This window comes from Homo sapiens, chromosome 6, assembly GCF_000001405.40.
Source record: "Homo sapiens chromosome 6, GRCh38.p14 Primary Assembly".
Taxonomy (NCBI): domain Eukaryota; kingdom Metazoa; phylum Chordata; class Mammalia; order Primates; family Hominidae; genus Homo; species Homo sapiens.
Window position 1 is genome coordinate 30,101,666 of NC_000006.12, and position 27,666 is coordinate 30,129,331.

The window sequence follows — 27,666 nt, forward strand, 5'->3', positions numbered from 1 at the left end:
CCAGGCATATTGTAAGGAGAGAGGAACTGAGATAGAAGGAATATTTAAAGCAGGGTCAGAGAAATCAGGACTGGATCAGGAGGAAGCCCGAAGGGTGTAACCTTCCCATAGGGCTGCTGGAAGCCTAGCTTCAACCCTTCCAGCTGCAGCACATCCCAAACTGGGGCGAGAAGCGAGTGAGGAGGAGATGCAGAGGAAGGCAAAGAACAACTCTAGCGACCCAGGGTGATCCGGGTGCCGGAAAACAGAAGCTGGAAAAAGGAGATCTGCCCCGGAAAGGAGGCATGGAAAGTGTAGATGTGGGTCCTCGAGGTGGCGTCGTAGAAGACTACCTCTCCGCCCTAGTAATCCAAGCGGACGCCCACTTTGTTCGGACAGATCGGGAGATCCTCCCGGGAACCGCTCTCGATGAGCGCCTGGCACTGGGAGCCGCTGCTGTGCAGCTCCACGAAGCCGGTCAAGGGCTCCACCTCCAGGAAGCCCCGCCTGGGAACCAGCTCCAAGGCCAAGCCCCGGCACGCAGGCCCCGCCCCCGGGCCGTTGGAGCTCCGCCTCCCAGGCGCCGCGGCCGGAGCAAAGGCCCAGCGAGCCCAGCACTCAGCGGAACCTGTAGAAGCGTCGGGGGTTGCCCCGCTTCTGCGAACCGCCCTGGGATGCGAGGTTCAGCGTCACTATCTCATCCTGGGAAAGGATGAGATCCGGGTGGGCCGAGGCTGCGTCCAGTGTCACAGGGGCTGTGTGAAGATGAGGAGAAAGAGGTGGCCAACCCCGGGTCAAGTTGTCCAAACCCCCTACCTTCCTCTGATACCCCCGTCCCACCACCCGCCCCGCTCGATGCCGCCAGAGAGGCTTTCTCTTCCCAGTCACAGCCTTTGTGGTCCCCAGAGAAGTCTTAGGCCCGGCACCGCCTCCTCCTCCTCAAAGTTAATCCCTAAATTTCACAATGTGTTGTTCTGTGGGCGCAGAGAGAAGTTCTTCATTGGTGGTGGTGGTGAGATCATTTCAACACCCGAAGATGAGACCATCTCTTCCTTGTCCATTTCCCGTGGCCCCTAATTCCCATGTCTAAGACAAGAATTGAGTCTAGTATAAGAGGGTCAAGGCTCAGACTTTCTGAGGGCCAGTAATTTTCTAAAGTGGAGTTCCTCAAACACAGGGATGAGTGAAAGTGTTGGAATACAAAAGGAGGAATAGTCATCCCCCGCCACACACACATACACTTTTACTAGGATTCCACGTTCAGTCGCAGTTTATTAAAGTTAGAAGTGTCTCCATCCACCCCCTACAGAGGCTTGCGTGGTGGTTCCAGTCTGCTAAATATTTCAGAATGGGGACCTCATTCTATCTACTGATTTATCAAATCTCATTAATTAATTTCCCTTGCTGATATGAGGGGTTGGGAGAGAAGGGGGACGTGGGAATGTAAGGAAGAGCGAGAGTGGTCGGGCTCATGGGGTTTGATGGACTGTGACCCAGGCTGGCGTTGCTCCTCTCCGGATTTCACTCCTGGCTGAACTGGTGCCTTCGGTAAACAGCTGCTTAAAGAGTGCGGGGACTGCTGCAGGGACTTCCTTTTTCCACTAGGCGGCACCACAGCCAAAGTGATAAGAAGTCAAGCGTGGGGCGGGTGGCTGGAGATTGTCTCTTCCCCTCCTTTTGCTCAAGAATTCGTCCATTCCTTCTCCAACTCTCTTCACCACCACCCCCGCCCCCATCTCCACTCTCAGTAGCCCGAGCCCTCCCATTCTCCACTCCTTCGACCCAATTCCACTAAGTCAAGAACCGTGGTCGGTCTCAGCCACTCACTCAGCGCCACTCTATGCTCCGAAGTCCGTGTAGCACCACCGCTCCCCGTGTTCTCTGAGCTGGCTTAGCTTGAAGGAACCTCACAAAACCAAGCCCGGATCGCTGTCAGCCACTCACTCAGTGCCGCATGGAGCTCCTCGGACAGCGCAACGTCAAATGTCTTCGTATCCTGAGAGCTCGCTCCTTGACCAGAAATCTCATCATAAGAGGCCAGGAGACATACTGGAAAAGTGACTTTCCCAGCAGACGAGGCCCGAAACAGGGAGTGGGATGGGGCTGAAGAGTGGTGATTTGGTGGCCCCGATGTAGTTCTGCCGCCTTTGCGGGAGAAGGAAAGGAGAAAAGAGGTCAGCGGGAGCACCTCGGCAGCAATCCTCCATTGCCAGACAGCACAGCTGAGCTCTACATACAGCAGGAGGGATGGAGGTGAAACTCAAGAAAGTACACCTGAACAAGTCGGAGCGCCCTCTGTTTCCTGGCAGAGGTGTAATTTGGGGAGGAACTGAGGAAATGGAATAAATGAATTCATTCATTTATTCATTTATTCCATTTAGTGGAATTGGGTGGATACAGCATTTTGACCACCTGTAGACTTAGAGGTCCCTTAGTATTCAGAGACAGGACTCTTACCTGCAGAAGATGACCCGGGCTCTGAGGTTTTGTTCATTTTATGATTATTTTTCTGTAACAAGCCCCCTAAAAATTGGGGAGAGAAAACCTATTTGGTCTTGATAACCAGAAGCTGCAAATTAAAAACAAAAACAAGCACCCTGCCATCATCAATCAGAACAGTCAATGGTTCTCAGTGGGACCCATTCCCCACCCAGGGGGAAGTGTGGAAACCTTTCAGGTTGTCTCAGTGACAACAAGAGTGTGGTTCTCTACTGGCTTATAGGGCTTTCTGGGGCCTGGGATACTAAGCATTTAACAGGGCAAAAGTCATGGAGCATAACAAAGATGGCCTTTCTAAACACCGGTAGCTCCTTTTGTGGAGAAATGCTGGTGGAATAGGATCCCTAAATCCTGCTCTCTGGCTTTGGAATGCATTCTGTAGTTTCTGGCTTTGGAGAAAGGAGTTCTAATTCTCTCTCTTTCACTTAATGATCATATGACCTGGGTAACTTACCTCCCCTCCCGGAAGCTACATGGACCTCACTGTAAGTTGCAGATAATAACACCTATCTTGGAGGATAGTTGTGGGGTTTTGAAATATTAGATGCGCACATAGTGGTCCTTTAAGAAATGGTACTTCTACTGTTATTGTCTTAGGTGGCAGAACCATATCTAATGACTTTAGCACAGGCTGTTATTACAGTGGGTCTCCATCCCCTGAGCTGTACTGACCTCACACCCAGAGGAGTTTGCCTCGAAACCTGCTGCCCTGTAGGGGCAGCAAATACTACAGAGGTGGAGCTGCCTCCTTCTTGTCCCACTTTTTCCTCCCTGTCTCTAGGAGTGAAGAAATACATTTGTAATTTTCTATTACTTCTGAATACTTCAAAGTTTGGGATTAGTGACTGTTTTGTGAGTTACCTGAGTTTAAAATAATAAAACAACCATATGCCTGTTCTCTCAATTGGCTGAGGAATCGGCATTCACTTATATCTGGCCTTCATGTAATCATAGAGACACAATTCTTCCCCTTTTCTCACTTTCCCCAAATGGCAGAAGCAACCAACCATCATTTCTCACTTACAGCTCTTCATGTCATTTTTATTCATGCTTTTGAAGAATCTGTTTTCATCTTTTTTCCTATCAGCCTGGAGTTGGTCTGGGGAATAAAGAATGGGATGAAATGGTGAGAGTCCAGAGGGGTTGAGCAAAGAACTCACTATCACACAGCAAGGCACTAATTTGAAATGCCTGGGAGAAGTAGAAGCTGCATTTGACTCTCATATTCTTATTGGACCAGGAAGGTATGCAACCCTTGAGAGATGCCCTTTCTGATTTCCTGTGGTGACTGCCTAGCCCAGCACTGTCCAGTATGAATGATGAATGTAATCTGAGTCACGAATGTGAGCCACTTATATATTTTTAAATTTTCTAGTAGTCACATTTAAAAAGTAGAAAGAAACTAGTAAAATTAACTTTAATTATATATTTTATTTAACTCAATATTCTCAAAATGTTATTTCAACATGTATTATAAAAATTATTGCTATCTTTTACAGTCTCTTTTTACACTCAATCTTGTGAAATTAATGATTCTTCACATATAGCATGTTTAAATTTGGACTAGCTACATTTCAAGTGCCTGTCAGCACATGTGGCTAGCAGCTACTAAATTGGACAGTGCAGAGCTAGCCCCTTTCTCACTGCCTGACAAAGGTAGGTGCTCAGGACAAAGAGTGCCTTGAGGCTTCACCCTTTAGCTTCAGAAGGCCTACTGTAGGGCTAACCACCCAGGAGCCAGGTGGGGTAAGGGGGGGCCCCACTCTCCTAAAGCCTGGATGGCAGTCCTGCCCTCTTTCCCATGAAAGAGGGCTTGAGAGGGGGAACGAAGACAGAGCTCCTGCAAGGGGAGGCCGAGTGCCTTCATCTCCCAGTTCACCCCTGCCAGAAGAGACTCCTTTTGCAGGTAGAGGATGAGCCCAGAAGCTGGGGACAATGGCCCATTCCTGGCCTAGATTTCCTGTAGGGGTGCTGGACTGAGTGGAGAACTATAGGGTGGAGCCCCTAGATGGGGAGCTACTTCTGGCCCCAGCACCCTTCCCCCAGTGTCTTGCAGCCCCAAGACAGCACAAGACAGCCTGGGGCTAGGTAGTGGGACAAGCGTGGGTAGCTTCCCTGAGAGCCACCAGCCCAGTCATGGGGACTGCTCAGGGGAGACGCGGGGGCCCTCTTAGGAGGGGTCTGCAAACCTAGAGCATAGGAAACACTGCCTGGGAGCACTTCACCTACAAGGGCCTTTAGCGGCTTCAGGGCCCAGCCACACCCTTCTCCACGTACGTGTTCCAGACCCAGTCACCCCGAGCAGGGAGAACCAACCCTCATAATAAGAACTGTGGAGATTGGACCTGTGGTATAAGTAGACTCCCTACCACCTCCTGTATTTCCTAGGCTTTAATAGGGCCAGGTGGCCATTGTGCCTTCTTCTTTGGGGTAAAAATAAAATAAAAATAAGAGAAAAAAAAAAGAAGGAAATAGGGCCAGGTGGGAGTTGGGGGACTGTGTGTGTGTGAGTTTGTGTATGTGAAAGAGGGAAAGAAAAGGGGGATACAGAGTAGAGCACACCAGTCTCCCCAACTCCAAACCTGATGAAGTGGAAAGGGCTGGGCTCCTTTATTGAAATTCCAAACTAGAACCAAACTATTCTTGACCTGAAGAGCCTAGAAAGGTGCTGGATCGGGCTGGACGTGGTGGCTCACGCCTGTAATCCCAGCACTTTGGGAGGCTGAGGCGGGTGGATCACAAGTCAGCAGTTCGAGACCAGCTTGACCAACCTGGTGAAACCCCGTCTCTACTAAAAATACAAAAAACTAGCTGGGCATGGTGGTGTGCGCCTGTAACACCAGCGACTTGGGAAGCTGAGGCAGGAGAATCGCTTGAAACCAGAAGGCGGAGGTTGCAGTGAGCCGAGATTGCGCCACTGCACTCTATCCTGGGCAATAAGAGCAAAACTCCATCAAAAATAAATAAATAAATAAACAAATAAATAAAGTTGCTAGATCGGCTGAGATCATGCCCAGTGGGGTGGGAGGAGCTAGACAAAGCAGAGCAGTTAGTGGACAAAAGAAAAGCTCAGACAACAAAATTAAGAATAAAACAAAACATGCTTTCCTGTTTATGTCTGCCGAGTGGAGATTCCCGGCTGAATGGGTGGAGATCTTGGGGCATTGCCCTGGTCCTCCTTTTCCGTAGTCCCAAGGGGAAGTGTTTGTGTATGGGGGGCTGGGGGTTGGGGTGGGGGAGGTGGGTGTGGAACTCCAGGTGATAATTTCAGAAGATTCCATCTAGCTGTCTTTATGCCCACCTTAGACCAACACAGTCTTCACATTAAGGGGAGTCCTTACAAATACTAACCCTTCTTCCTAGTTGCAAACACAGAAAGGTTTATGAAAAATATCTGGCGAACATCTAAAACCCAAGTCATCCACTACTGTTCTGCTGATTTCTGTTTCCCTGTAAGGCTGGAAGAGGTTTCTCCCCAGAATGTCACTGATTTTGAATTTATTTTCTCTTCTTCTGTAGGCAGGAGGAGACACCAGTGTGCACCAGAGAAGGAGAAGTCAGAGATGACAGTCCCTGCCTGAGGCCATCTCTGGTCCACCAGACAACTCATCACCAACTTCCCAACAGCCACTGCTCTAGGCCAGGTGTCCACATGGGGAATAGGTCCAGGCCCTCTATGGCTCTCGCAGGAGTCAGGGAGGCAGATAAATAACATATCACAAAGACAGAATATAAGAAATGCCTGGGAGGAGGCATACTGATGCGTGGAAAGTACTCAGCCAGAAGCCTGGCACTAGAAGGGCCCAGGGATTGTTGGCATGTATGAGTCACAGTTCCATTTCAGTGGAGTGAGCAGGGAGAGAATCTCCTGGAAGTAGGTGAATAGAGAAAATACAGCCTCTTCCTTACCTTTGAATTTTTTTAGGCTCCCTGTGATGGAGTCATGTCTTGATTTTGCTTCACTGAGTTTTTTCTCCAGTTCCAGAGGAACAGGGGTTGGGTTGAGAAACTGAAACTCTTCACTTCTAGGAAGATGTGGTTGAGCTGGTTGGTGAGATCAGGGGATGAGGTGTGGGAGAAGGAGGATCTGAGATACGCGGTTGAGAAATGAGGGGATGAAGACCTGGGGGTAGAACTGAGAGCAGTGGCTCACACCTGTAATCCCAGCACTTTGGGAGGCTGAGGCGGGTGGATCACCTGAGGTCAGGAGTTCAAGACTAGCCTGGCCAACATGGTAAAACCTGGTCTCTACTAAAAATATGAAAATTAGCCAGGCTTGGTGGCAAGCGCCTGTAGTCTCAGCTACTTGGGAGGCTGAGGCAGGAGAATCACTTGAACCTGGGAGACAAAGGTTGCAGTGAGCTGAGATTGCACCACTGCACTCCAGCCTGAGCAACAAGAGCAAAGCTCCATCTCAAAAAAAAAAAAAAAAAAAAAAAAAGAAGACCTGGCGGTTAAGGGATAGTGAGCTGGGAGTCAGAAAGTCAGGGCTAGGGATATGGGGCGGGAGTGAGGTAGGGCATAGGGAGATATGGAAATGAAGATGGGAGATGGAGACAGAGAGGAGGGAAAAAAACAGGGTCAGGGAGACAGAGTAGGGGACCCAGGAGCTATTCAGTTGAGCAAGGGGGCATTCAGGAAATAGTAGAATCTGTGCTGAAGAAGGAGGAAGGCTGAGAAAACAGCTGGTTTCTTTAACAACCAACCACGTGCTAATATGGTTGGCATAGGCATTCCCCGGCTGCAGCCTAAATGTATGAATGCAGAGTTAGAGGTGGGTGGGTATTTCTGAGAGAGGAATGTTGACTGCATTTGGATATACGCTGAGAATTGTGTGTGGATGAATCAGTAGGCAAAATACATTTGGGGTGGCCCATCATACCTGCACAAGACGACTTTGATATCCTAGAAGAGAAAGAGAAACAGCACAGCCTCAGCACTTGGCTGATTCCCAGGAGCCAAGGAGGAGATACAGAGCCTGCTGGGTGTGGGGCAGAGCAGGAGGAGTAAGAACCCCTCCAAGTCTCTCTTACCCCATCCTCCTCCCCTCTCCCCACCACGAAGGGCTTCTCCAAGAAGCACTGCTCTGCCAGTAAGCAGAAAAGTGTTTTGACCTCAAGAAGAACTGAGTGAAGAAGAGAAGAGTGAGATTTAGAAGATGAATTTGGCTCTGAGACTGAACAAGGGAGCCTGCTAGCCAGGGCAGGAGAAAGGCTAGAATGGCTTTGCATGATCTTTCTTAAAATAAATAAATAGGTTTTTGAACCTGTGGGAGAATAGATGACTTGAGGAGGAATCATCTCAGCTTATTTTAAGCACCAGCTAGACTTGCACTGTCCAATATGGTAGCCACCAACCACATGTGGCTACTGAACATTGGAAATTGTGGCTAGTGTGACAAAGAACTGAATTTTTAATTTCATTTTTACTAATTCAAATTTAAATTAAAAATAGAGGCCAGGCACGGTGGTTCACGCCTGTAATCCCAGCACTTTGGGAGGCTGAGGTGGGCAGATCACTTGAGGTCAGGAGTTCGAGACCATCCTGGCCAACATGGTAAAACCCCGTGTCTGCTAAGAATACAAAAATTAGCTGGGCGTGGTGGTGGGGACCTGTAATCCCAGCTACTTGGGACTTGGGCCTAGGAGGCGGAAGTTGTAGTGCGCCAAAATCGCGCCACTGTACTCCAGCCTGGGCAACAGAGCAAGATTCCATCTCAAAAAATAAAATAAAATAAATAGAAGAAGGGTAAAGTACTTTTTCCATTAAACACAACTTTATTGATTTGGTAAGACTATATTTTACTTTAACAATTGACAATTTAGCATCTGAATTGAGATGTGCCAAAGTGAAAAATATACACACAATTTCAAAGACTCAGTGTAAAAAAAAAAAAAAAAAAAACCACCAAAAACCCAGAATGTGAAATATCTCATTAATACTTTTAAAATATTCATTACAGGCTGAAAGGATAATATTTCAGATATATTGAGTTAAAATATTTTATTAAAATTAATTTCACTTTTATCATTTTAATGTGACTAACTAGAAAAATTTGTAATTCCATATGTGGCTGAAACTACATTTCTAAATCACACATGTGGCCAGAATTATATTTATGAATTACATATGTGGCTCACATTTTCATTCTAATACATGCGGCTCACATATTGCTATTGGACAGCACTGGGCTAGAGGTAGGATGGTTGGGGCAATCTCAGGTATTCTGCCAGTGGTCCATGCTCTGACCTGAGACTAGGGATGGGCTGCTACCTCTCTGCAATTCTGCCCCCAAGGGACTCACCTCCAGCAGCTGCCTGGGTGGCATGTTCTGCTTGGTCTTCAGGGAATCAACGAGCTTCTTGAGATCGTTCAACTGTGGCTCAGTGGAGGCAACATAGTGTTTCCCCGCTTCCGTTCCCTCATGACCCAGCCAGTAAATCCGTGATAGCAGGAAATTCTTCTCCTCCTCTAGGACTTGATGCAGGAGTTCAAATTCTGTGAGGATCCTTTGCTTCTCATGTTCTACCTGGTCCTAAGAAACAGGGACAGGCAGAGGGTGAGAGGATGGCCTCGAAGGTCCTTCTAGCCCACTTTATTCAGCCATTAATTTTATTAAGTTTGTGTGGAATTCCCAACCAGAGCAATGTGCCAGGGCAGACCTGGAAGAAAGGAAAGGAGAGGAGAACAAACTTCTAAAAGCACCTACTACGTGCTCAGCTTTAAGCGAAATTATTAATTTATGGTTTACCACTTGCCTTCAAGGAACTGTCTAATACAATTCCAGAAGGCTTTTCAGTTTATAATCTTTCATATAGATTTTATTCCTTTCACGCACACAGGAAAATAGGTAAGTGGGGTCACAATGTCTTCATTTTCCTTCTGTCTTTTTTTTTTTTTTTTTTTGAGACAGTCTCTCACTCTGTCACTCAGGCTGGAGTGCAGTGCACGATCACGGCTCACTGCAGCCTCATCCTCCCAGGCTCAAACAATACTTTCACCTCCCAGCCTCTCTAGTAGCTGGGACTACAGGCGTGTGCTACCACGCCCGGCTAGTTTTCTTTCTTTTTTTTTTTAATTAAGAGGAGAGTCTCGCTATGTTGCCCAGGCTGGTCTCAAACTCCTGGGCTCAAGCGATCCTCAGCCTCCCAGAGTGCTGTGATTACTGGCGTGAGCCACCGCGCCCGGCCAATGTCTTCATTTTCTAATTGGGGAATCCGTTGAGGGCGCAGCTCGGCCTTAAAAACCTGTACTTGCGATTCTAAGACCAGCGCGGGTTTTCCGTGCCCCACCTTGTCTGCCGGTGGAGACTGAGCAGTCAGCCCGCTGTAATAGCGAGGCCGACGCGGGAGGTGATGCCGCCTGGCCGGTCAGGTGCTGAGGCGCCGAGGAGAGGACATGGCTCACTGGATCTTTTTCTGAGGGGTCAGTGTAATAGGGGATTCCAGGAGCTTTGGCAGAGATGTTTCTGCTTCCAGAGATCGTGGGATGGAGTTTTTCTTACCGTGAAGACATCGACCCTGTGTACACCTTGTGCCTTCACTTGTACTGTCTCCTTCTCCTTTTGCTGCAAGACTTGGATCTGCTCTTGAATCTGCCCCTGCGGAAAGAGGGCCGTTTGGACAGGCTGTGCCTGGAGATTTCTGGCCTCATAAAATCCTCCTGGTCTCTTAGGAGAGCTGGTGACACTCTCCAGGTGAGTCCTTGTGTAATTATTAAGGACTCGCCTTTCTCAAGCTGGCGGGGAAAGGGGTTGCTGAGAAGGGAGAAATCTGGAGCCTAAGTGACCTAAATGACCAGAACATAGTTATTTATGACTAACTAGGACTATGGATGGTGCTTTGGAATTATCAAAGAACTACAAACTTCCCTTCATCTGTCCTACCAACAACTTTAAGAGAGTTGTTTTGTTTTTGCCATTTGAAAGGTGAGGTACCTGAGGCTCAGAGAGGTAAAGTGATTCCTTGCAGGTTGTACAGTAAACTCACAAGACTGGGCTTGAGCCCAAACCTTCTGAGTCAAATTTTCACATCCTTTCCATTCTCCATTGCACCTTGATTTAGAGAGTCAGCAGTTCCCCAGACTCAGCTCTTTGAACCCACTGTGCCTGACTGCGAGCTGCCCACTCAAGCCCAAGGGGTGGGGGCAATGGGGTGCAAACCCTCAGTGGGAAGGTAGCAGTTTCCAGGGCCTCACTGAACTCCTGGGCTGATGGGGGAACAGGGAAGAAACCTCAAATGCCTACCTGATAATTCTGGGCAGCTTCTTCGATCAAGCTGACATTATGGGATTTGTGGTCCTTGGATTCACGACACACAAAACAGAGGAACTTCCCATCATCCTCGCAGAAATAGTGGAACATCTCCTGGTGCCTCGGGCATGTAGCCTCTTTCCTTTTGGACTGCACCTCAGAGGCTTGTAGAGCTTGGATTTTCTCCACCAGATTCCGCAACAGCGAGTTGAACCTGATTGCGTTCTTCCTTACGGAAGTTTTGCAGAGGGGACATTTGAAAAATCCACATGATGTTTCCCCAATCTGAGTGATGCATTTGAGGCAGAAATTGTGCCCACAGTCGATGGTGACAGGTTTCTGCAGAATGTCCAGGCAGATGGGGCAGATCACTTCCTCTTGCAGTTTGTTCACAAACTGCCCACTGGCCATGACAGAACAACAGGGCTGTTTCAAGACTGTAGGAAGCTGTGCCAAGTCTGTAGGAGCCCCGGAGTCCACTGTGGATACTGTTTCTAGGAAGGGAGAAGGGAGTCAGAGAAAGTGGAGGTCAGAGATTCTGCCAATTAGTTAGAAGAGCAGAGAGAGAGGAAAAGAAGAGGGAGAAAAAAATAAAGAAATGATAGAAAAGCGTAAAATTTAGGATCTAGAAAATATTATAAAGAGAGGAAAACAGATGGGCAGTCCTACCTTGCTACCTCTTGAGAACAAATGGATACTTTGAATGTGTAATAGGCTGCTTATAAAGTGAAATAAGTTGTCCTGAACTTTGGACTAAAGGTATGTTTGTATGGTGGTTGACTAAGATCAGAATGACCGGGGCACCAAACACCACTTATGGGGGATTTCCCAATCAGCTCTGAGTAGGGAGTGGAGGGGTGGGTGGTGATGCCTACTGAAAGGTCACAGCCAGTTCACTGCAATGCTTTGGGCATCTTGTATGCAAAGTTCAAGCCTTGGTAGAGCATCTGGAAAGTAGGGGAAGGGCAATTCTCTACCTCAGGTGCTTTGGCTCCTCACAGAATTTTGTGAAAATGTGGAGGTTATCATCACCTACCTTGGGGAATTTCCAGTCACAGGGTCAACCAACCACTCCCTAGCTCAGTAGGATAGGCAAGGAACTTCCTTTCTAAAGAGTTGTTCTTTGTTTTTGCACTTTGCTCTTGCCCCTGGTGATCTTCTGTCTCCCCACAACACCTGTAGTAGTCTGTCCTCTGTTGATTTTTTCTCTGTATGTCTCCAGTATGCTGGTGTCTCCGTGCCCATTCTTTGCTTTGCCAATTCTGTCTATATGTTCTTCTTCTTCCTTCTTGGTGCTTCTCTGATCCCTGACTTGCCTTCTATGGCTTTTGTTATGACTAGGAATATATCAACCAGTGTTACATACATTCCCTTCTGTACATTCATGTCCTAACCTTCCCTCCTTGCCTCTTGTCTTAAGGAAAAGGGTGCTTCCTCCCTACCCCTTCTCTTGGTATAGCTTCCACCCTCACCTCCTCACTCTCCATTATCAGCCGTCTGTCCCCAGCAAGAAGTACACCATTAATTTTTGTCTGATCTTAATCTTAGGTCAAACAGGGCTTGTGGATGATTATTATAATAATAGCCAGAGTGATCATACACTCTGCTTTGCCTGGAACCATCCTGGGTTTCACTTTGTCCTGGTGTAATTATTAATAGCACCTCCTTTCACTTTCAGAAATGTCCAGTTTGGACTATAAATTATGTGGCTCCCCTTATAGCAACTGCTGTAAACCAAAGACTTTCAGAAATGTTATACCTCCAGACCTTTCTTTTTGTTTGTTTTAGGGTTAAATTAAAACAGTCTAACATCTGTAAATTGTTTTACTTACACTCCTAAACTGCTGGCCCCTAGAAGCAGAATTTAACTTTTGACAGGTTTTGTTTGACTGGCATGATGATTTAGAAAATAATGATAATGTAGATGCCTTTAGAGAGGGTGGCTATGTTCCCCACCGCTCTGCTACCTCACGTCTCCTTGGCCCTTGAAGGCATTTGACATTATGACTCTGATTTATAGATTTATTTTGCTTATATTACCTCATTTAAGTCTCACCTGTAAGAAATTATCTTTATCCTTTCTCAAAAAAGGAACTCAGTATTCTTCAGAATCACTTGGAAAACTTGTTAAAATTCAGATTTGCTGAACTCCAGTAGAGACTTTCTCTTTCAACAGGTCCTTGGTGGAGCCTGATGATTGACATCTTAAGCAAATTCTCTGGAGAAGTCGATGCTCCTGATGGAGGCTCACACATTGATAACCCCTGGTTTAGAGACACTACTAATTGTTCCAGCTCATCCAGCTAATAAATGACAGATCTCAGACTTAATTCCAGGTTTCCTATTCCACATTAAGTCTTCTTTATTCTTTCTTGTTTCAGCATTAATGAAAACAAATAGTAATCTTTAAAAATGATAAACAAATATTTTAAAAGAACATTGGTATTTCAATGAAGCTGGGCAACCCAGCAGAGAGAATGAAAATACTCATATGAACACCACTGGAGAGTTTCAAAGAACTGTCACCAAACAGGTACTGATGGCTTCATGAGGAAGGAAATTTAGACATAAAAAATGAGAATCTACAGTGTTTCAAAGGTGCTTTACTCTCTCAGAATTATTATTGTTATCCTGGGTCATCCATCCACTGGACTGAATGGAGATATATATATACATATATTTTTTTTCTTTCTTCTTTCTTTTTTTTTTTTTTGAGACAGAGTTTCACTATTATTGCCCAGACTGGAGTGCAATGGCGTGATCTCGGTTCACTACAACCTCTGAATCCCCGGTTCAAGTGATTCTCCTGCCTCAGCCTCCCAAGTAGCTGGGATTACAGGCACCTGCCACCACATCCAGCTAATTTTTTGTATTTTTAATAGAGACGGGGTTTCACCACGTTGGCCAGGCTGGTCTTGAACTCCTGACCTCAGATGACCCACCTGCCTCAGCCTCCCAAAGTGCTGGGATTACAGGCGTGAGCCACTGTGCCCAGCCCTTGAATGGATATCTTAAACTCTTAGTAGGCTCAGTAGTCTGAAACCAAATGCCTCCAATTTGCAAGGGCTAGGGTCTTGAGATAGTTGGTATTGTGTTAGTTCCAAAGGACTTCCAAGCCAATTCTGAGGCATAGAGTTTATAAAAATTAGCCATAGAACAGGAAATGATGCAGAGCCTCATGCACATGAGACAGCTGTCACACACAAGAAAGCAGACACAGAGCCATGCAGCAGCGAGTGCACAGATCTGGAGGGGACCTGCCAAGACTAATGGGATGAGACACCTTATCAGAGGCCAGTGAAGGCTAGAGGCAGCTCAGTTGTCAGACTAGACAGCCCCACAATGTTACATAAGCCTCCCTGCATCACGATTCCAGCTACAGAAGCTTCCCCTGCCTCAGGATTCACATTTCCGGGCCTATGTGAATTGGTAGAATGTCTATGGAGGAAAATAATGTGATATGTTTCAAAACTACAAATGCTCATTCCCTTTATCCCAGAAATTCCACCTCTGGGAATTTAGTCTACAGATATACTCACACATATAAATTTATTTTGGACTTTGTGGTAATGTTTGCATTAGCAAAATATTAGAAAACAATCTAAATGTACATCAGTATGGAAATGTTTAAATAAATTATAGCCCAGCTTTATAACAGAATAGAAATAAAAAAGAATCAGGGAGTTCCTTATTTACATATGGAAAATATGGCCAAGATATGTTGTTATGTGAAGAAAGGAAAAAACAAATAATGCAGAAAAATGCATGTACTATGCTACCATTTGGGTAGAAAAAAAATACTTATTTTCTTGAATATCCAAATAAGTTCTTTCTGGAAGGATAAGAATTTAATAACTAACAATGGTTGTCTCTAAGGAGAGGGACTGACTAGCCAGGGAACAGGGGTGGAAGAGAGGCTTTTCTTTGTATGACATATTACATTTTGTGAATTTTTAATTGTATAAATACATTAAGTTTTTTTCTTTTTTAGTACTTTTTACATTATGTTTTACAACATTAAATAGTAAATCAAAAAATGGACAGAGAATGAAATGGACATTTGCAGAGCAATAAAACCAATTAACCAATAAATACTTGAAAACAGTAATCTTGAAAATGCACGCTCAACTCATTGGCTCATGCCTGTAATTCCAGCACTTTGTGAGGCCAAGGCAGGCAGATTTCTTGAGCATAGGAGTTCAAGAGCAGCCTGGACAACATGGTGAAACCCTGTCTCTACAAAAAATACAAAAGTTAGCTGGGCATGGTGGCACACACCTATAGTCCCAGCTTCTTGGAAGGCTGATGCAGGAGGATTGCATGAACCTGCGAGATCGAGGCTGCAGTGAGCCGTGATCATGCCACTGCACTTTAGCCGCCCTACTGCACTCCAGCTTGGGTAACAGAGCAAGACGTTTCCTTAAAAAAAAAAAAAAAAGAAAGAAAGAAAGAAAAAGAAAAAAGAAAATGCCAATTAAAATAAAAGAAGATATCAGTTTATATCTTAAGTTTAAGTCTGGAATATCAAATATAGCCAAGGACATGGAGAAATAGGTACTCCTATACCCTACTGGTGAGAGTATAAATTACAATAATTTAAAAATATTTAGTAGAATTTAAACGGTGTACTTTCATTTCAAGGTTCTGTAATGATAATGATGATGATGAAAATACTGCTACCAGTAAATAAAAGCTAACATTTCTTGAATGCTTACCATGTGCCAGGCACAGTCCCAAGCATTTTGCGTATTAACTCATTTATATAGAGAAGTATTATTATTCCCATTTTGAGGACAAGTCAACGGAGATCAAGAGAGATTAAGCAATTTGCCCCAAAGGTCATTCAGTAAGTAAATAGTGGAATGGGGACTTGAACCCAGGTAGCCTCTAGAGCCTTCTTACACCCTGTATGATTCTGCCTCTCTAGAGAAAACCTTGCACATGTGCACTCAGAGATGCATGTAACAGTATTAATATTGGCTGGGTGCGGTGGCTCCCGCCTGTAATCCCAGCACTTTGGGAGGCTGAGGCGGGCGGATCACGAGGTCAGGAGATCAAGACCATCCTGGCTAACCCGGTGAAACCCTGTCTCCACTAAAAATACAAAAAATTAGCCAGGCATGGTGGCCGGCGCCTGTAGTCCCAGCTACTCGGGAGGCTGAGGCAGGAGAATGGCGGGAACCTGGGAGGCGGAGCTTCCAGTGAGCCGAGATCGCGCCACTGCCCTCCAGCCTGGGCGACAGGGTGAGGCTCCGTCTCAAAAAAATAAATAAATAAATAAATAAATCCTATGTCAGGGTTTTTCAATGATAGCACTGTTGACATTTTAGGCTGGATAATTCTTTGGTGTGTGGTGGCCCTGTGCACTGTAGGATGTTTACCAGCATCCCTGGCCTCTACCACTAGATTCCAGTAGCACTCCTATCCCCCAGTTGTGACAAACAAAAATGTCTCCAAGCATGACCAAATGTCCCTGGGGGACAAAACCTCTGATGGAAAACCAGTGATCTGTATGTAGTCATATGGCTAGGTCTCAAAACAGTAATGAGTATGTGGTGATTTATATACACTTAGAAACACACAACACTTCATATAGTTTGCAGTTTCCATATATGTGATAGAAGTTTAAACACAAGGCCTGAAAGGATACATACTAAATTTATGGCAGTGTTTGCTTCCGGGAGGAGAGAGAGAAAGAGCGAGAGAGGAATGGAACTAAGAAGAGAACTAAATGGACAGAGGGATTCTCAAATTTTTTTGAGATTAAAATTTAAAAAATTAAATCTGTAATATTTAATTTTTAAAAATCTGAGGCAAACATAGCAAAATGTTTGTATTTGTTAATTCTAGGTTGTGGTTATAAGGTGCTTGTTATATGATTTTCTATTATTTTCTATATTAAGTTTTTCCAAAGTAAAATATTTTAGTTAAAATAGGAAAAATGTTGAAAATGAACAATGGATAGAAATAAAAATAGAAATTCAGAGGAATTCTAAAATAAATTCTAAAATTAAGAAAAAGTTCAACTCCTTTCCTACTACTCAGGAAAATACAAATAATGCGATACAAATACAAAAATGAGATAAACTTTGTACTCATCAGATTGGCAAAATTTTTCAAAAATGTCCAGAGCTGATGAGGATGTGGAAAAATGGGACTCTTCATATGTGGCTGGTTTCAGTGTGAATGGGCACTATCTTTTTCAAAAGCCTCAAGGCAAATGACTTAAAATGCATTTGAACGGTGACTAGAAAGAATATTATAAGAAAAGTAAAATGCACACAGGATTTCAAAAGGGTTTTTAGGCTTCAAGATAAGTCAGGGACGGTGGGGTCGAAATGAAGTCAAGGGACAGCTTACACAGAGATACCCTATAACCAGTCTCCCAACAAGAGAGCTAGATTTTATTTAGTTAAAAATAGAAATTAGAAACAGGAGGTAGTAAAAACAGGGTTTTCTTCCTTTCTTTCTTTTTTTCTTTCTTTCTTTCTTTCTCTCTTTCTTTCCTCCTTCCTTCCTTCCTTCCTTCCTTCCTTTCTTTCTTCCTTCCTTTCTTTCTTTCTTTCTTTCTTTTTCTTTTTCTTTTTCTTTTCTTTTCTTTTCGAGACAGAGTTTTGCTTTGGTTGCCCAGGCTGGGGTGCAATGGTGCAATCTCAGCTCACTGCAACCTCCGCCTCCCAGGTTCAAGCGATTCTCCTGCCTCAGCCTCCCAAGTAGCTGGGATTACAGGGCTGTGCCACCATGCCTGGCTGATTTTTGTATTTTTAGTAGAGACAGGGTTTCACCATGTTGATCAGGCTGGTGTTGAACTCCTGACCTCCAGTGATCAGCCCGCCTTGGCCTCCCAAAGTGCTGGGATTACAGGCATGAGTCACAGCACTTAGCCATAAAAAAGTTCTGTTTAAAATACCAGAATGATTAAAATGTTTGCTTTCTGTTTGCATGTATATCATCCCATTAAAAATGAGTTTAAAGTTTTCTATAGAGATATATACATGCAAACAGAAAGAAAAAAAAATAGGAGGGCCATCAAAATAAATGGAGCAACAAAGTTCAGTTTATATATAGCAGTCAATATAACATTGGGCTGAATTGCTCAACCAAAGGATCAGTCATGAGATTAAAAACCCCAACAAAATGTAAAGCTCCCTTTCTTCCTTAGAGAAACCCATTAAAACATAGAAGCATAAATCCAGAGATAGTTTAAGGGCTGCTGTGCCTGTGCAGATGGGAGAACCTCATGGTGGTCTCACTCCTCTCCCTCTGCCAGGAGAAACTGCAGTCTCCTAACACCGCGACTCCAACTTAGGAGCAAGGGCAGGGGGAAGAAGCTGAAAAGGCCTGGCCTTCACTTGACTCAGTTATCCAGATTATTTAAATTATTGGATTGGCCGGTGGAATGGTTAATTTTATATGTCAACTTGGCTAGGCCGCGCTACCCAGTTATTTGCTATGGTTATGCTGCTTCTACAATAAATGACATCAGAGAAAAGTGGTTGAGAGAAAAGTGGCAAGAAGAAATAAAAATATGCTTGGGTTTGAGGATCTAAATGCCCCCATCAGAACACATCAGACTATGTAATATTCTTGTACCACAGAAGTACGGTGTCCAGAGCCTAACACAGAGCTCTTGGTAACTCACTCTGGGAAGCGCATTTTAATAAAGGTAACCGCAAACTGGACTGCCTTGAGAGGAGGTCACTTGGATGGCAAGCAGTTTTGAAATCTCATTTCAGGAGGCATGAGGAGGATCTGGTTGGCCCTGAGAGACTCAGGAGTACAGAGTGCTGCCTTCCAGATGCGGGGAGGTTTGTGGTGGATGTCTGTCTCTCCCATGGTCTCAACACTTCTATGCAGATTTCCGCGGGCTGAATTGTGTCCCTCTCACCCACTGCTCCAAACTTGTATGATGAAGCCCTAACTCCAAGAACCTCAAAATGTGACTATATTTGGAAATAGGGCCTTTGAAAGTTGATTAAATTGTCGACAAAGAGTCAAACTCTATAAAATATTCAAAGAGATGTATTTTGAGCCAAATATGGGTGGCCATGGCCCATGACACAGCCCTCAGGAGATCCTGAGAACATGTGCCTGAGGTGGTTAGGGCACAGCCTGGTTTCATACATACATTTTTGGGAGACATGATACTTCAATCAAGTACATTTAAGATGTACATGGGTTAGGTTCAGAAAGGCAGGATGACTCAAAGTAGGGAGCTTCCAGGTTATAAGTAGATTTAAACATTTTCTGGTTGACAGTTGGTTGAGTTTATCTGAAGACCTGGGATCAATGGAAAGGAAATGTCTGGGTTGAGATAAAGAACTGTGGAGAGAAAAGAGAAAAGTTCCTTTTTTTTTTTTTTTTTTTTTGAGACAAGGTCTCACTCTGTCACCCAGACTGCAGTGCAATGGCATGATCTCGACTCACTGCAACCTCCGCCTCCCAGGTTCCAGCCATTCTCCTGCCTCAGCCTCCCAAGTAGCTGGCATTAAGGCATGCACCACCTCGCCTGGCTAATTTTTTGTATTTTTAGTAGAGATGGGATTTCTCCATGTTGGTCAGGCTGGTCTCGAACTCCCGACCTCAGGTGATCTGTCTGCCTCGGCCTCCCAAAGTGCTGGGATTACAGGCGTGAGCCACCGCACCCGGCACAAAGTTCTTAATGTGCAGAGGAAGCCTTCAGGTAGCAGGCTTCAGAGAGAATAGATTATAAATGTTTTTTATTAGACTCAAAAAGGGTGCCAGACTCTTGATTATCTCCTGGACCTGAAAAAAAGGGAAAAGGGGATTCTCTATAGAATGTAGATTTTTCCCCCACAAGAGACAACTTTGCAGGGCAATTTCAAGATATGGCAAGGAAATACATTTGGGGTTAAAATATTTTGATTTCTTTCCTTATTTGTTATGTAATGTTATGCCAGAGCCAGTTTGGAAAGTAGGCCACATTAGGGTTAAATAAAACCCCTCTGATGAGACTTTACGGTTTGTAGGGCATGACTCCCCAGGCCCCTTAGGTAGAAATTTGGGCAAGAGAAGGAAAAAGGTCAGAGTTTAGTCCTCAGAGGTAAAATAAGCCCATCAGAGCGGACCTTTGTCTAATCTGACTGGCGTCTTCATAAGAAGACGAGATTTGGACACACAGAAGGGCACCAGGGATGCTCCACATGAGGAAAGACCTTGTGAGGACTCACTGAGTAGACGGCCATCTGTAAGCCAAGGAGAGCGGCCTCACAGGCAACAACCTTGATCTTGGACTTTCAGCCTCCAGAACTTTGAGAAAATAAATTGCTGTTGCTAGAGCCACCCAGCCTGTGGTACTTTGTTACGGAGGTCCTGGCAAAAGAATACACAGATGAACTCCCATATCACCGCAGAGCCCACCTTCCATCCCCACAACCCCAGTTCTGAGTTTCCAGCTCTTCGCAAGGGATCTCCCAACCCTTACACCTCCTACTGGATGGAGCAGTGCTCATCTCCTCTTCTCTCTATTGCAAACTTCAGTGCAGGCACTCCACAATCCTGCAGCTGCAATGTGAGCCAGTTTAGCCCCTCTGGACTGTGTGTGGGCAATATACACCAAAATTATTTTAAAATGCACCTAAGACCGTTTGGCCCAGTAGTTTCATGTCTAAAAGTTTTCCCTAAGTGAAGCCATCCTCACAGGGTTAACAATAATTCTGGACAGAAATATAATTATAATTAAGCCTTAATCAGACTGCACTTTGACTCACTTCCTTGAAACCAAAAGTCATGTAACACTAGACACTGACCAGTCATATCCCCATTGTTGCTCTAGGTAGGATTTCTGACATAAGAATCAGCCAAGGCAGGAGGATTGCTTGAAGCCAGGAGTTCGAGACCAGCCTGGGCAACAAAGCAAGATCCCATCTCTACAAAAAAAATTATTAATTAAAAAAATTTTTTTAAAGAATTGCTTAAGCAGATCCTGAATTTTAGTAGAACAGCTGATGACAACTAGTTTAAGACCTCCACAAAGGAACTGTTTTCTCAACTTGATAATACAGCTTCTTCATCTCCTTGTCCCATGACTTCACCCTGCACTCTTCAGCCAGTCACTTTGGCCAACTCCAAAATCTTTAAAATCTCTAGCTCCAAATTATTTGGGGAGATGGATTTGAAGTTCCCTTCCATGTCCTCATTTGGCGGCCCTACGATTAAACCTCTTTCTCTGCTGCAACCAGGTTTCAGCTTACTGACTTTCTGTGCCTGTTGGGCAACAAATCTGTTATGGTTACATAAGGAAGTAATCAAAAGCATATATAGTCAGAGAAAAGAAACCAGAAGGATAACTTATTTGTTCATTACAATGGATACTTATTACTATGTGACAGGCATAATTCTAGGCACTTTTATTACAGTGAATAAAGTATACAGAAGCCCCACCCACTGAGAGCCAGGCAGTAAATCAGCTAACCAAATGAATCATACATTAGGAGGAAATTTTTTTTTTCACATTAAGGTTCTAAGGAGGAAATAAATATTATGGAGGAAAAAATAAAGCAGAAAGGGAGTATGAAGAGCAGTCGATATGGTTCCAGTTTTCAATAGAGCTGTCAAAATAGGCTTGAGAAGGTGAAAACTGGCATCAACTTGCAGGCAGTTAACAGTAAGGTGCCAATAGTTGTTATTGCTGGTTGGTGAAATTATGGGTAATTATATTCTTTTATACTTTTCTGTGCTTTCCAAATGCAGCACAATTAACATATTTGCTTTTACAATTAAAAAAATCCCACAATAAATGTTACTTAAAAAAAAAAACTGACACCTTCAGTTGTTCCCCATTTTCTACAGAATAAAGTCCAACTCGTCCTCCATTGGCCTCTTCCCTTTCATCTAAACTTATCTTTCATTCCTTAACTGTCTTTTCCAGTTGGCCTGATACCCTGTGACCCAGATTTGCCAAACAGGGTTGTCAGATTTAGCAAATAAAAGTACAGGACACCCAGTTAAATATGAACGTCAGATAAACAATGAATAATGCAATATTTGAGACATACTAAAAAACTACTTGTTGTACATCTGAAATTCAAGTTTAACTGAGCATCGTATGTTTTTCCTGACAATGTGACAAGTGATCTTCCTTCCCCTGTGCTGGAATAATCTCTTTTCCATCTTTCCAAATTTTTCCAGCTAATCAGAGGGTGGGGAGGAGGGATGGATGTGGGTGGGAATGAGAGATAAGCCTGCCTATCAACTCCTGTATTTAATATAGGATATTCCTGGGGGCCAGGTGTGGTGGCTTATGCCTGTAATCCCAGCACTTTGGGAGGCCAAGGCGGGTGGATCACCTGAGGTCAGGGGGTTCAAGACCAGCCTGGCCAACATGGTGAAACCTTGTCTCTACTAAAATACAAAAATTAGCTGGATGTGGTGGCGCATGCCTGTAGTCCCAGTTACTCGGGAAGCTGAGGCAGGAGAATCACTTGAACCTGGGAGGCAGAGGTTGCAGTGAGCCGAGATTGCACCACTGCACTCCAGCCTGGTGACAGAGTGAGACTCCTCACCAAAAAAAAAAAAAAAAGAAAAAAAAAGATATTCCTGGGGAGTAGATGGGTGGTGGAGGGCGGGGGAACAAGGGTGGGGTATTGTTAAAACATCGTAAAAGGGCTCCTTTTTTGATCTTGAATTATGACTTTCCTATAGATAAAAATTGCACCTTTAATCAGAGAACAATGGCCCAGGTGTCAGGTATAGGTGAAAGTCCAAAGTTCTCTTCAGAAAAGAAACTCTATTTTAGTTATACAGAACATTTATTCAAATCTTCCACTATTTAATTTATGTAAAATATCCTAGTCAATGTTTTTAACCCGAGTGTTTTTAAACATTGCTTTTTAAAAAATAAAAAACTTTTAAAATATTGAACCATTTACGGGGGCTTTAAAAACAGACAGCTTTTGTTCCAAATGAGGATGCCTCTCCTTCCGTTTGTCTGACCTACCCTTTGCCCCCATGGTCCCCTACTCCATTTATTAGCTCCACAGAGACCTGACAGAACCTTAAAGTTGATCCCTGAGTCAGACTGGGCCTGTCTCAAGGTCAGCTCACATCTGAAATCAAGCCTCTGCTGAGTCTGTGGAGTAAAAGGCTGATACTCCCTTCTCTCCTGCAAGACAGCTGTGTGCTCTGGCCCAGAGTGGGCACAGAACTGCTGGGCCCAGGCTGTCAGAAACTTCTGGGCTGGCATCCAGCTGCTCCAATGCACAAAGCCAGCTAACGCAGGCCAACCATGCCAGTGAGTCCACATTACAGAAGGACGGGAAGCAGTGGGATGCGGTACCCAGGGGTAGCAGTCTAATCCCTCCCAAAGCCAAATTCTAGAAAAATTTTCCAAATTTAAAAAATGGAAAAGGGAAAAATGGAAAATGGAAAAAATTTTAAATTTAATTTTCCAAATTTAAAAAATGGTAAAAGCTCTTACCCATGGCCATAGTTTTTCATCTTGACATCCTCAGCACTTACCATGGTACCTGGCACAAAACAGCTAATTTTTCAGTTGCCATACTGAACAGCCATTGTATACAGGCTCTCTATATTCCAATGACAACAATCTTTAGGCAACATTGTTAAGTGACAGAACAGTGTTTAGTATGCAAAACTTTGCTTAATAAAGGGGAGAAATACCAATATATATAGTTGTATTTAACTTCTATTTACATAAAGAAACATTGAAAGGATACGCAGAAAACTAATAAAAGTGTGTACCGGTGGGCCAGGGACGGGGGTAGTGGTAGGTGGAATGAATGAAGAAGGGCAAGGTGGTCACAGTCCTACTTAATCTATACCTTTTAATATATTATTTTTTGAGCCAAGTGTATGTATAACCCTTTAAGTTACATAGTTAAAATCATCTATTTTTGGTTATATAATTTTGTAGTAGCAAAAAACTCAACTGAAAAATAGGAAGCTATTCTCTCCATTTCTCTCTGTGGTCACATAGCCGCTCACGTTTAATTCTTTCTAAGCTCACAGATTGACCAACACAGCCACCATACTTGAGTTTCCATGACTTTATAATTCTAGTGCCCATCACTGTCTCAATCTAGATTTCCTTTTCCCCAAAAAAAATCTGCTACGTCACTTGCTATAATTTCTAGCTCTCTGCCAAATGTTTCACACATAGCTTTTATCCTTTTGAAGATAGCATATACATTGTTATATAGTCTATGCCCAATAACCCCAGAGTCTGGAAGCCCCATGGGTCTGATTCTGTTGTCTGTTTTTATTTTTGTTTTTTTTTCTTTTCTTTTCTTTTTGAGACAAGGTCTGGCTCTACGGCCCAGGCTGGAGTACAGTGGCATGATCTCAGCTCTTTGCAACCTCTGCTTCCCAAGCGCAAGCCGTCCATCCACTTCAGCCACCCTAGTAGCTGGGACTACAGGTGTGCACCACCACACCCAACTGACTTTTGCATTTTTTGTAGAAACGGAGTTTCACCATGTTGTGCAGGCTGGTCTTGAACTCTTGAGCTCAAGTAATTCCCCAGCCTCAGCCTCCCAAAGTGCTGGTATGGCAAGCATGAGCCACTGCACCTGGCCTGTTTCTGCTTTTCTTATGGCAATCTCGCCTCTCTGGGGCTTGATTATTTTTGCTTGTTTGCTAGATGCATTTGAGGCCTAGGATGCTATTATCTTCTTCCCAGAATGATTGTTTTTGACACTAGCAGTTTAGAGTCACTTTGAACAAGTTCAATGGTTACTTGAGATTCTCTGGGCTGGGACACCATTTCTACTCCCTTTAAGCCTTTAAAGGCTGCCAAAAATGCAGCTTGGATTCTTAAACTCTCTTCAGCAAATGCTCCCAGAACAGAAGCGACCCCAGTTGCAGGCTCACCTCCATGTTCCTTTCCTTTCCCAAATTTTGGCCCAGCAATTCCTCACTAACCTTTGAATATTTAAGTAAGATACTTAAAAATATTTTACCCAGCATTTTTAGTTGTCTTCAAATGGAGGCTTGGTCTGAATTACTCAGTCCATTAATGGAAGCAGAAGCCCTTCTGATGCAGGCCTTAGTTTTTCAGTAGTTTGCTCTTCTCTGGGCCTTAGCTTTCAGAAAGATTCTCTTGTCTGTAGTAGTAAAGTCTGTATAAAGTCTGCATGGACTTTTCTTGCGTACACACATTGCCACATCACCTCCAGTCAAGGCTGGAAGAGAATCTTGCATTTTACACATCTAATATTTCAGAAGAGCTGGAGTCACAGCAGTCCTCTTCACTGAGCTCAGAAACAAAACCCTGCTTGTGCATATATTCAGGCTGGGACCTCTAAAATGCAGACACCTAAGTGCTCCAGCTTTGAGAATTCTAGCTTCAGTGTGACAACGGCATAAGGAGTTGCCCTACGGTGTAAAGGCCCCTGTGAGGTCTCAGTTTGCAGACCAGGATGTGACAAGGAGATTGGAGCTGCAGTCAGCTCTAGAGGCCGAAAGAGGAGCCAAACAGCAAACAGAGGTGCCAAATGCTGCCTTAGAAATCTGTAAGCCAGCTAAGAGTTCTGCAGTCTCAACTAAACAAAACTTTTTTATTCCATTGGTTTGGGGTGTACTGTTCTTAGGGCTTTTGCCAACTGAATTGGTCTGTGGTGTCTTGAAAGATTGGGGGTCTGCACGGAAAAGGCTCGGAGGCCAGTTCTCTGAGGCTGCCTTTGTTGCAGGAAATAAAATGAATCTTTCCAGAGCCACAGCACTAGCATTTGGAGACCACTCTCAGGGGCTTTGGGGCGTACGACTTTCGGGGCTCTGGTCCTCTGTTTCCCTATCCGTAGAATGGAGACGGCTACTCTGTGAGAAGCCCGAGGTGCGCAGGACCCAAGTGAGGAGCCGGCAACCTGAAGTCCTCAGGATGGGGAGGGATCCGAAGGAGGCGGTGTGAAGACTCAAGAGGACCGCCTTGGGGTGGGAAGAGGACAGCCCGGCACTGGCTGCTGGCCCAGGTGCTGTGATGGGTTTCGTGCGCAGAGAGGCCTGACAGCCTCTGCATCAGTGACCGGGCGAAGAGTGGGGCAGCTCGGACGGTGGTTGGGGAACGTTAGGGAGATTGGCGCGCGGACCACTGGGTGAGCGCCCAGGAACGCCGGACGCGCGCCTTCACGCCCGGGTGCCTGGCGGCGTTTTAGAAAAGCTGTATTTGAAAAGCAACCGATTGGGGTGAAGGCGGGGGAGCGGAATCCTGATTACACTGTCCCAATTTCAGTTGAGGTGGGCTTTTAAAAGAAATCCCAATTCACACATTCGATCAGGTTAGTTACAAGAAAGGCTGGGAGGAGGTGGGGCTGGAAACACCAGAGGGCCCAGATGTCCGTTGGCGACGGTCTTCTGCAAACGACAGAGCGCAAGCCTTGCCCCTGGAATTCTAGAGCCGCCGCAAAGATAGGAACTCAAAACGACCCGAGCCCCGGAGCCGCAGCCCCTCGGGACGGTCACGAGCAGAGCTCCCAAGGGGACCGCTGGGGACTGGGCGGGGGCTCTGCTTCTCACCTGTTCCTTCTCTATCCACTGAGCCCTGACACGTAGGACCAGCGCTACTAACAGACTTGTTTTCCGGTTCAGCTCCCCTTAGGGCTCCTGTTGGAAACCGACCCTATCTGGGGAGCCTGTCTGGGCCACTCCCATTGCCGGAGAACTCTCCTGGGGCGGGGAGATGGCCCAGGTTTGTGGGGCTTGAAAGCTTACACAGTGTTGTGTCTTTTCAAGAAAAAGGATACAGCCGGGCACGGTGGCTCACGCCTGTAATCCCGGTACTTTGGGTGGCCGAGGTGGGTGGATCACGAGGTCAGGAGATCGAGACCATCCTGGCCAACATGGTGAAACCTCGTCTCCACTAAAAATACAAAAAATTAGCTGGGCATAGTGGCATGTGCCTGTAATCCCAGCTACTCGGGCGGCTGAGCCAGGAGAATCTCTTGAACCAGGGAGGCGGAGGTTGCAGTGAGGCAGTGAGCCAAGATCGTTGCCACTACACTCAGGTCTGGCGACAGAGCAACACTCCGTCTCAAAATAAAAAAATTAAAAAAAAAAGGAAAGAAAGAAAAGAAAAAGGATACAGAATTTGACAAAATTAAGAATAAAAGCAAATATGACTTACAATGAGGAAAAACAATGACAGCAAATGATAAATGTTTAAAAACTGACATATCACAAACATCAAAAAATCCCCCCAAAATTCTAATAACTGCTTGAACCACCCCTATATTTTCCCATTTATATTTTTTGATTCCCTCTTCATTCGACAACACTTTTGTAATGTATTTTCCTGGGTGAGAATGAATAATTTGGTATTTCGTCTAGCATAGTTAAGCAAAAAAAGTTTTTATTGAAAGTTTAGAAAAGTTAATATCCATTTCACAATCGTTATTGGTAATAATATGCAAATTTTTAGTGCTATTAATTTTGGAGAAGCCTCTGTGAAGAGTTTCCTATGTAAGCCTGAGATTTCAGGGCATTTCAAGTTTTCTTGGGCAGTGACTAATCTTAAATACTCTTTTAAGTTGCTGAAAGTCATTGGCCTGTTTTTCGTTAAGTCCTTGTTGTAAAGGTGTAGTATGAAACTGTTTGTAGATGTCAATATTTTATGCCAAAACAACAAGTTTTTTAAGTTTTAATGTGTTTATGTGGTTAATTCTTCATCAAGTGATTGTCAAACAATCTAGGCATCTATTCTATTTAAAATGTATCCCTTCCCTTCAATAAATTGCTGGTTTTGGCTGGAACCAAACTTTTTTTCTTCTTCCAATTCCTTTTCTGATGTCAGAATAACTTCTATTAATTTCATGTGCAAATATGCAAGAGATCATTTTATTTCATGATGTATGTATAATTGTATATGCATATTTAATAAGTATATTCCTAAAGAAGAGAGCTTCCATTTTGACTAGACTTTGATGAGACTGAGTAATACGCTTATAATTTTCTACATCTAGGGG

The 27,666-nt window shown here is 44.5% G+C and overlaps 1 protein-coding gene and 1 long non-coding RNA gene across 8 annotated transcripts, besides 2 other annotated features; one reads left to right on the top strand and one right to left on the bottom strand.

The window, feature by feature from the left end:
- Positions 751–1,250: an enhancer, noted in NCBI's record as "H3K4me1 hESC enhancer chr6:30070193-30070692 (GRCh37/hg19 assembly coordinates)". NCBI's record gives its function as "activates a minimal SCP1, AML or CMV promoter by ChIP-STARR-seq in primed H9 embryonic stem cells {active_cell/tissue: H9 hESC(primed)}" and the evidence as "EXISTENCE:reporter gene assay evidence [ECO:0000049][PMID:30033119]".
- On the bottom strand, positions 1,232–11,425 carry TRIM31 (tripartite motif containing 31). 7 transcript variants are annotated; one of them, NR_134870.2, is made up of 10 exons: positions 11,399–11,425; positions 10,724–11,223; positions 9,983–10,078; positions 8,783–9,013; positions 7,361–7,383; positions 6,388–6,503; positions 3,503–3,577; positions 2,437–2,502; positions 1,807–2,124; positions 1,232–1,580 (listed from the first exon to the last, which is right to left on the bottom strand). NR_134870.2 is itself a non-coding variant. In XM_047418110.1 (10 exons), the coding sequence occupies exons 2-10, from the start codon at positions 11,138–11,140 to the stop codon at positions 1,540–1,542; spliced, it is 1,263 nt and encodes a 420-aa protein (XP_047274066.1). In that variant the 5' UTR covers positions 11,141–11,223; positions 11,399–11,425; the 3' UTR covers positions 1,232–1,539. The 7 variants fall into 7 exon arrangements, 5 of the variants coding, with proteins under 5 accessions (XP_047274066.1, XP_011512567.1, XP_011512566.1 ...); XM_047418110.1 differs by having other exon boundaries at positions 1,924–2,124; positions 6,388–6,500; XM_011514265.2 differs by having other exon boundaries at positions 1,924–2,124.
- TRIM31-AS1 (TRIM31 antisense RNA 1) lies at positions 3,575–13,059 on the top strand. Its single transcript, NR_126470.1, has 4 exons — positions 3,575–3,722; positions 5,998–6,122; positions 10,053–10,174; positions 12,906–13,059. It is a non-coding gene; the product is annotated as a TRIM31 antisense RNA 1 (long non-coding RNA).
- Positions 10,868–12,067: an enhancer, noted in NCBI's record as "CDK7 strongly-dependent group 2 enhancer chr6:30080310-30081509 (GRCh37/hg19 assembly coordinates)". NCBI's record gives its function as "activates an origin of replication core promoter dependent on BRD2, BRD4, P300/CBP, MED14 and CDK7 cofactors, with strong dependence on CDK7, by STARR-seq in HCT116 cells {active_cell/tissue: HCT116}" and the evidence as "EXISTENCE:reporter gene assay evidence [ECO:0000049][PMID:35650434]".
- Positions 13,060–27,666: the final 14,607 nt, after the last annotated feature.

Bases quoted from the DNA above. Each gene is read 5' to 3' on its own strand.
- TRIM31 (NM_007028.5), bottom strand. From the start codon at position 11,140: ATGGCCAGTGGGCAGTTTGTGAACAAACTGCAAGAGGAAGTGATCTGC. The intron at 9,014-9,982 runs GTAAGAAAAACT...CCTGTTTCTTAG, and splicing joins ACAGGGTCGATGTCTTCACG to GACCAGGTAGAACATGAGAA. The intron at 2,503-3,502 runs GTAAGTGAGAAA...CCCAATTTTTAG, and splicing joins TAAAAATGACATGAAGAGCT to GGGGCTTGTTACAGAAAAAT.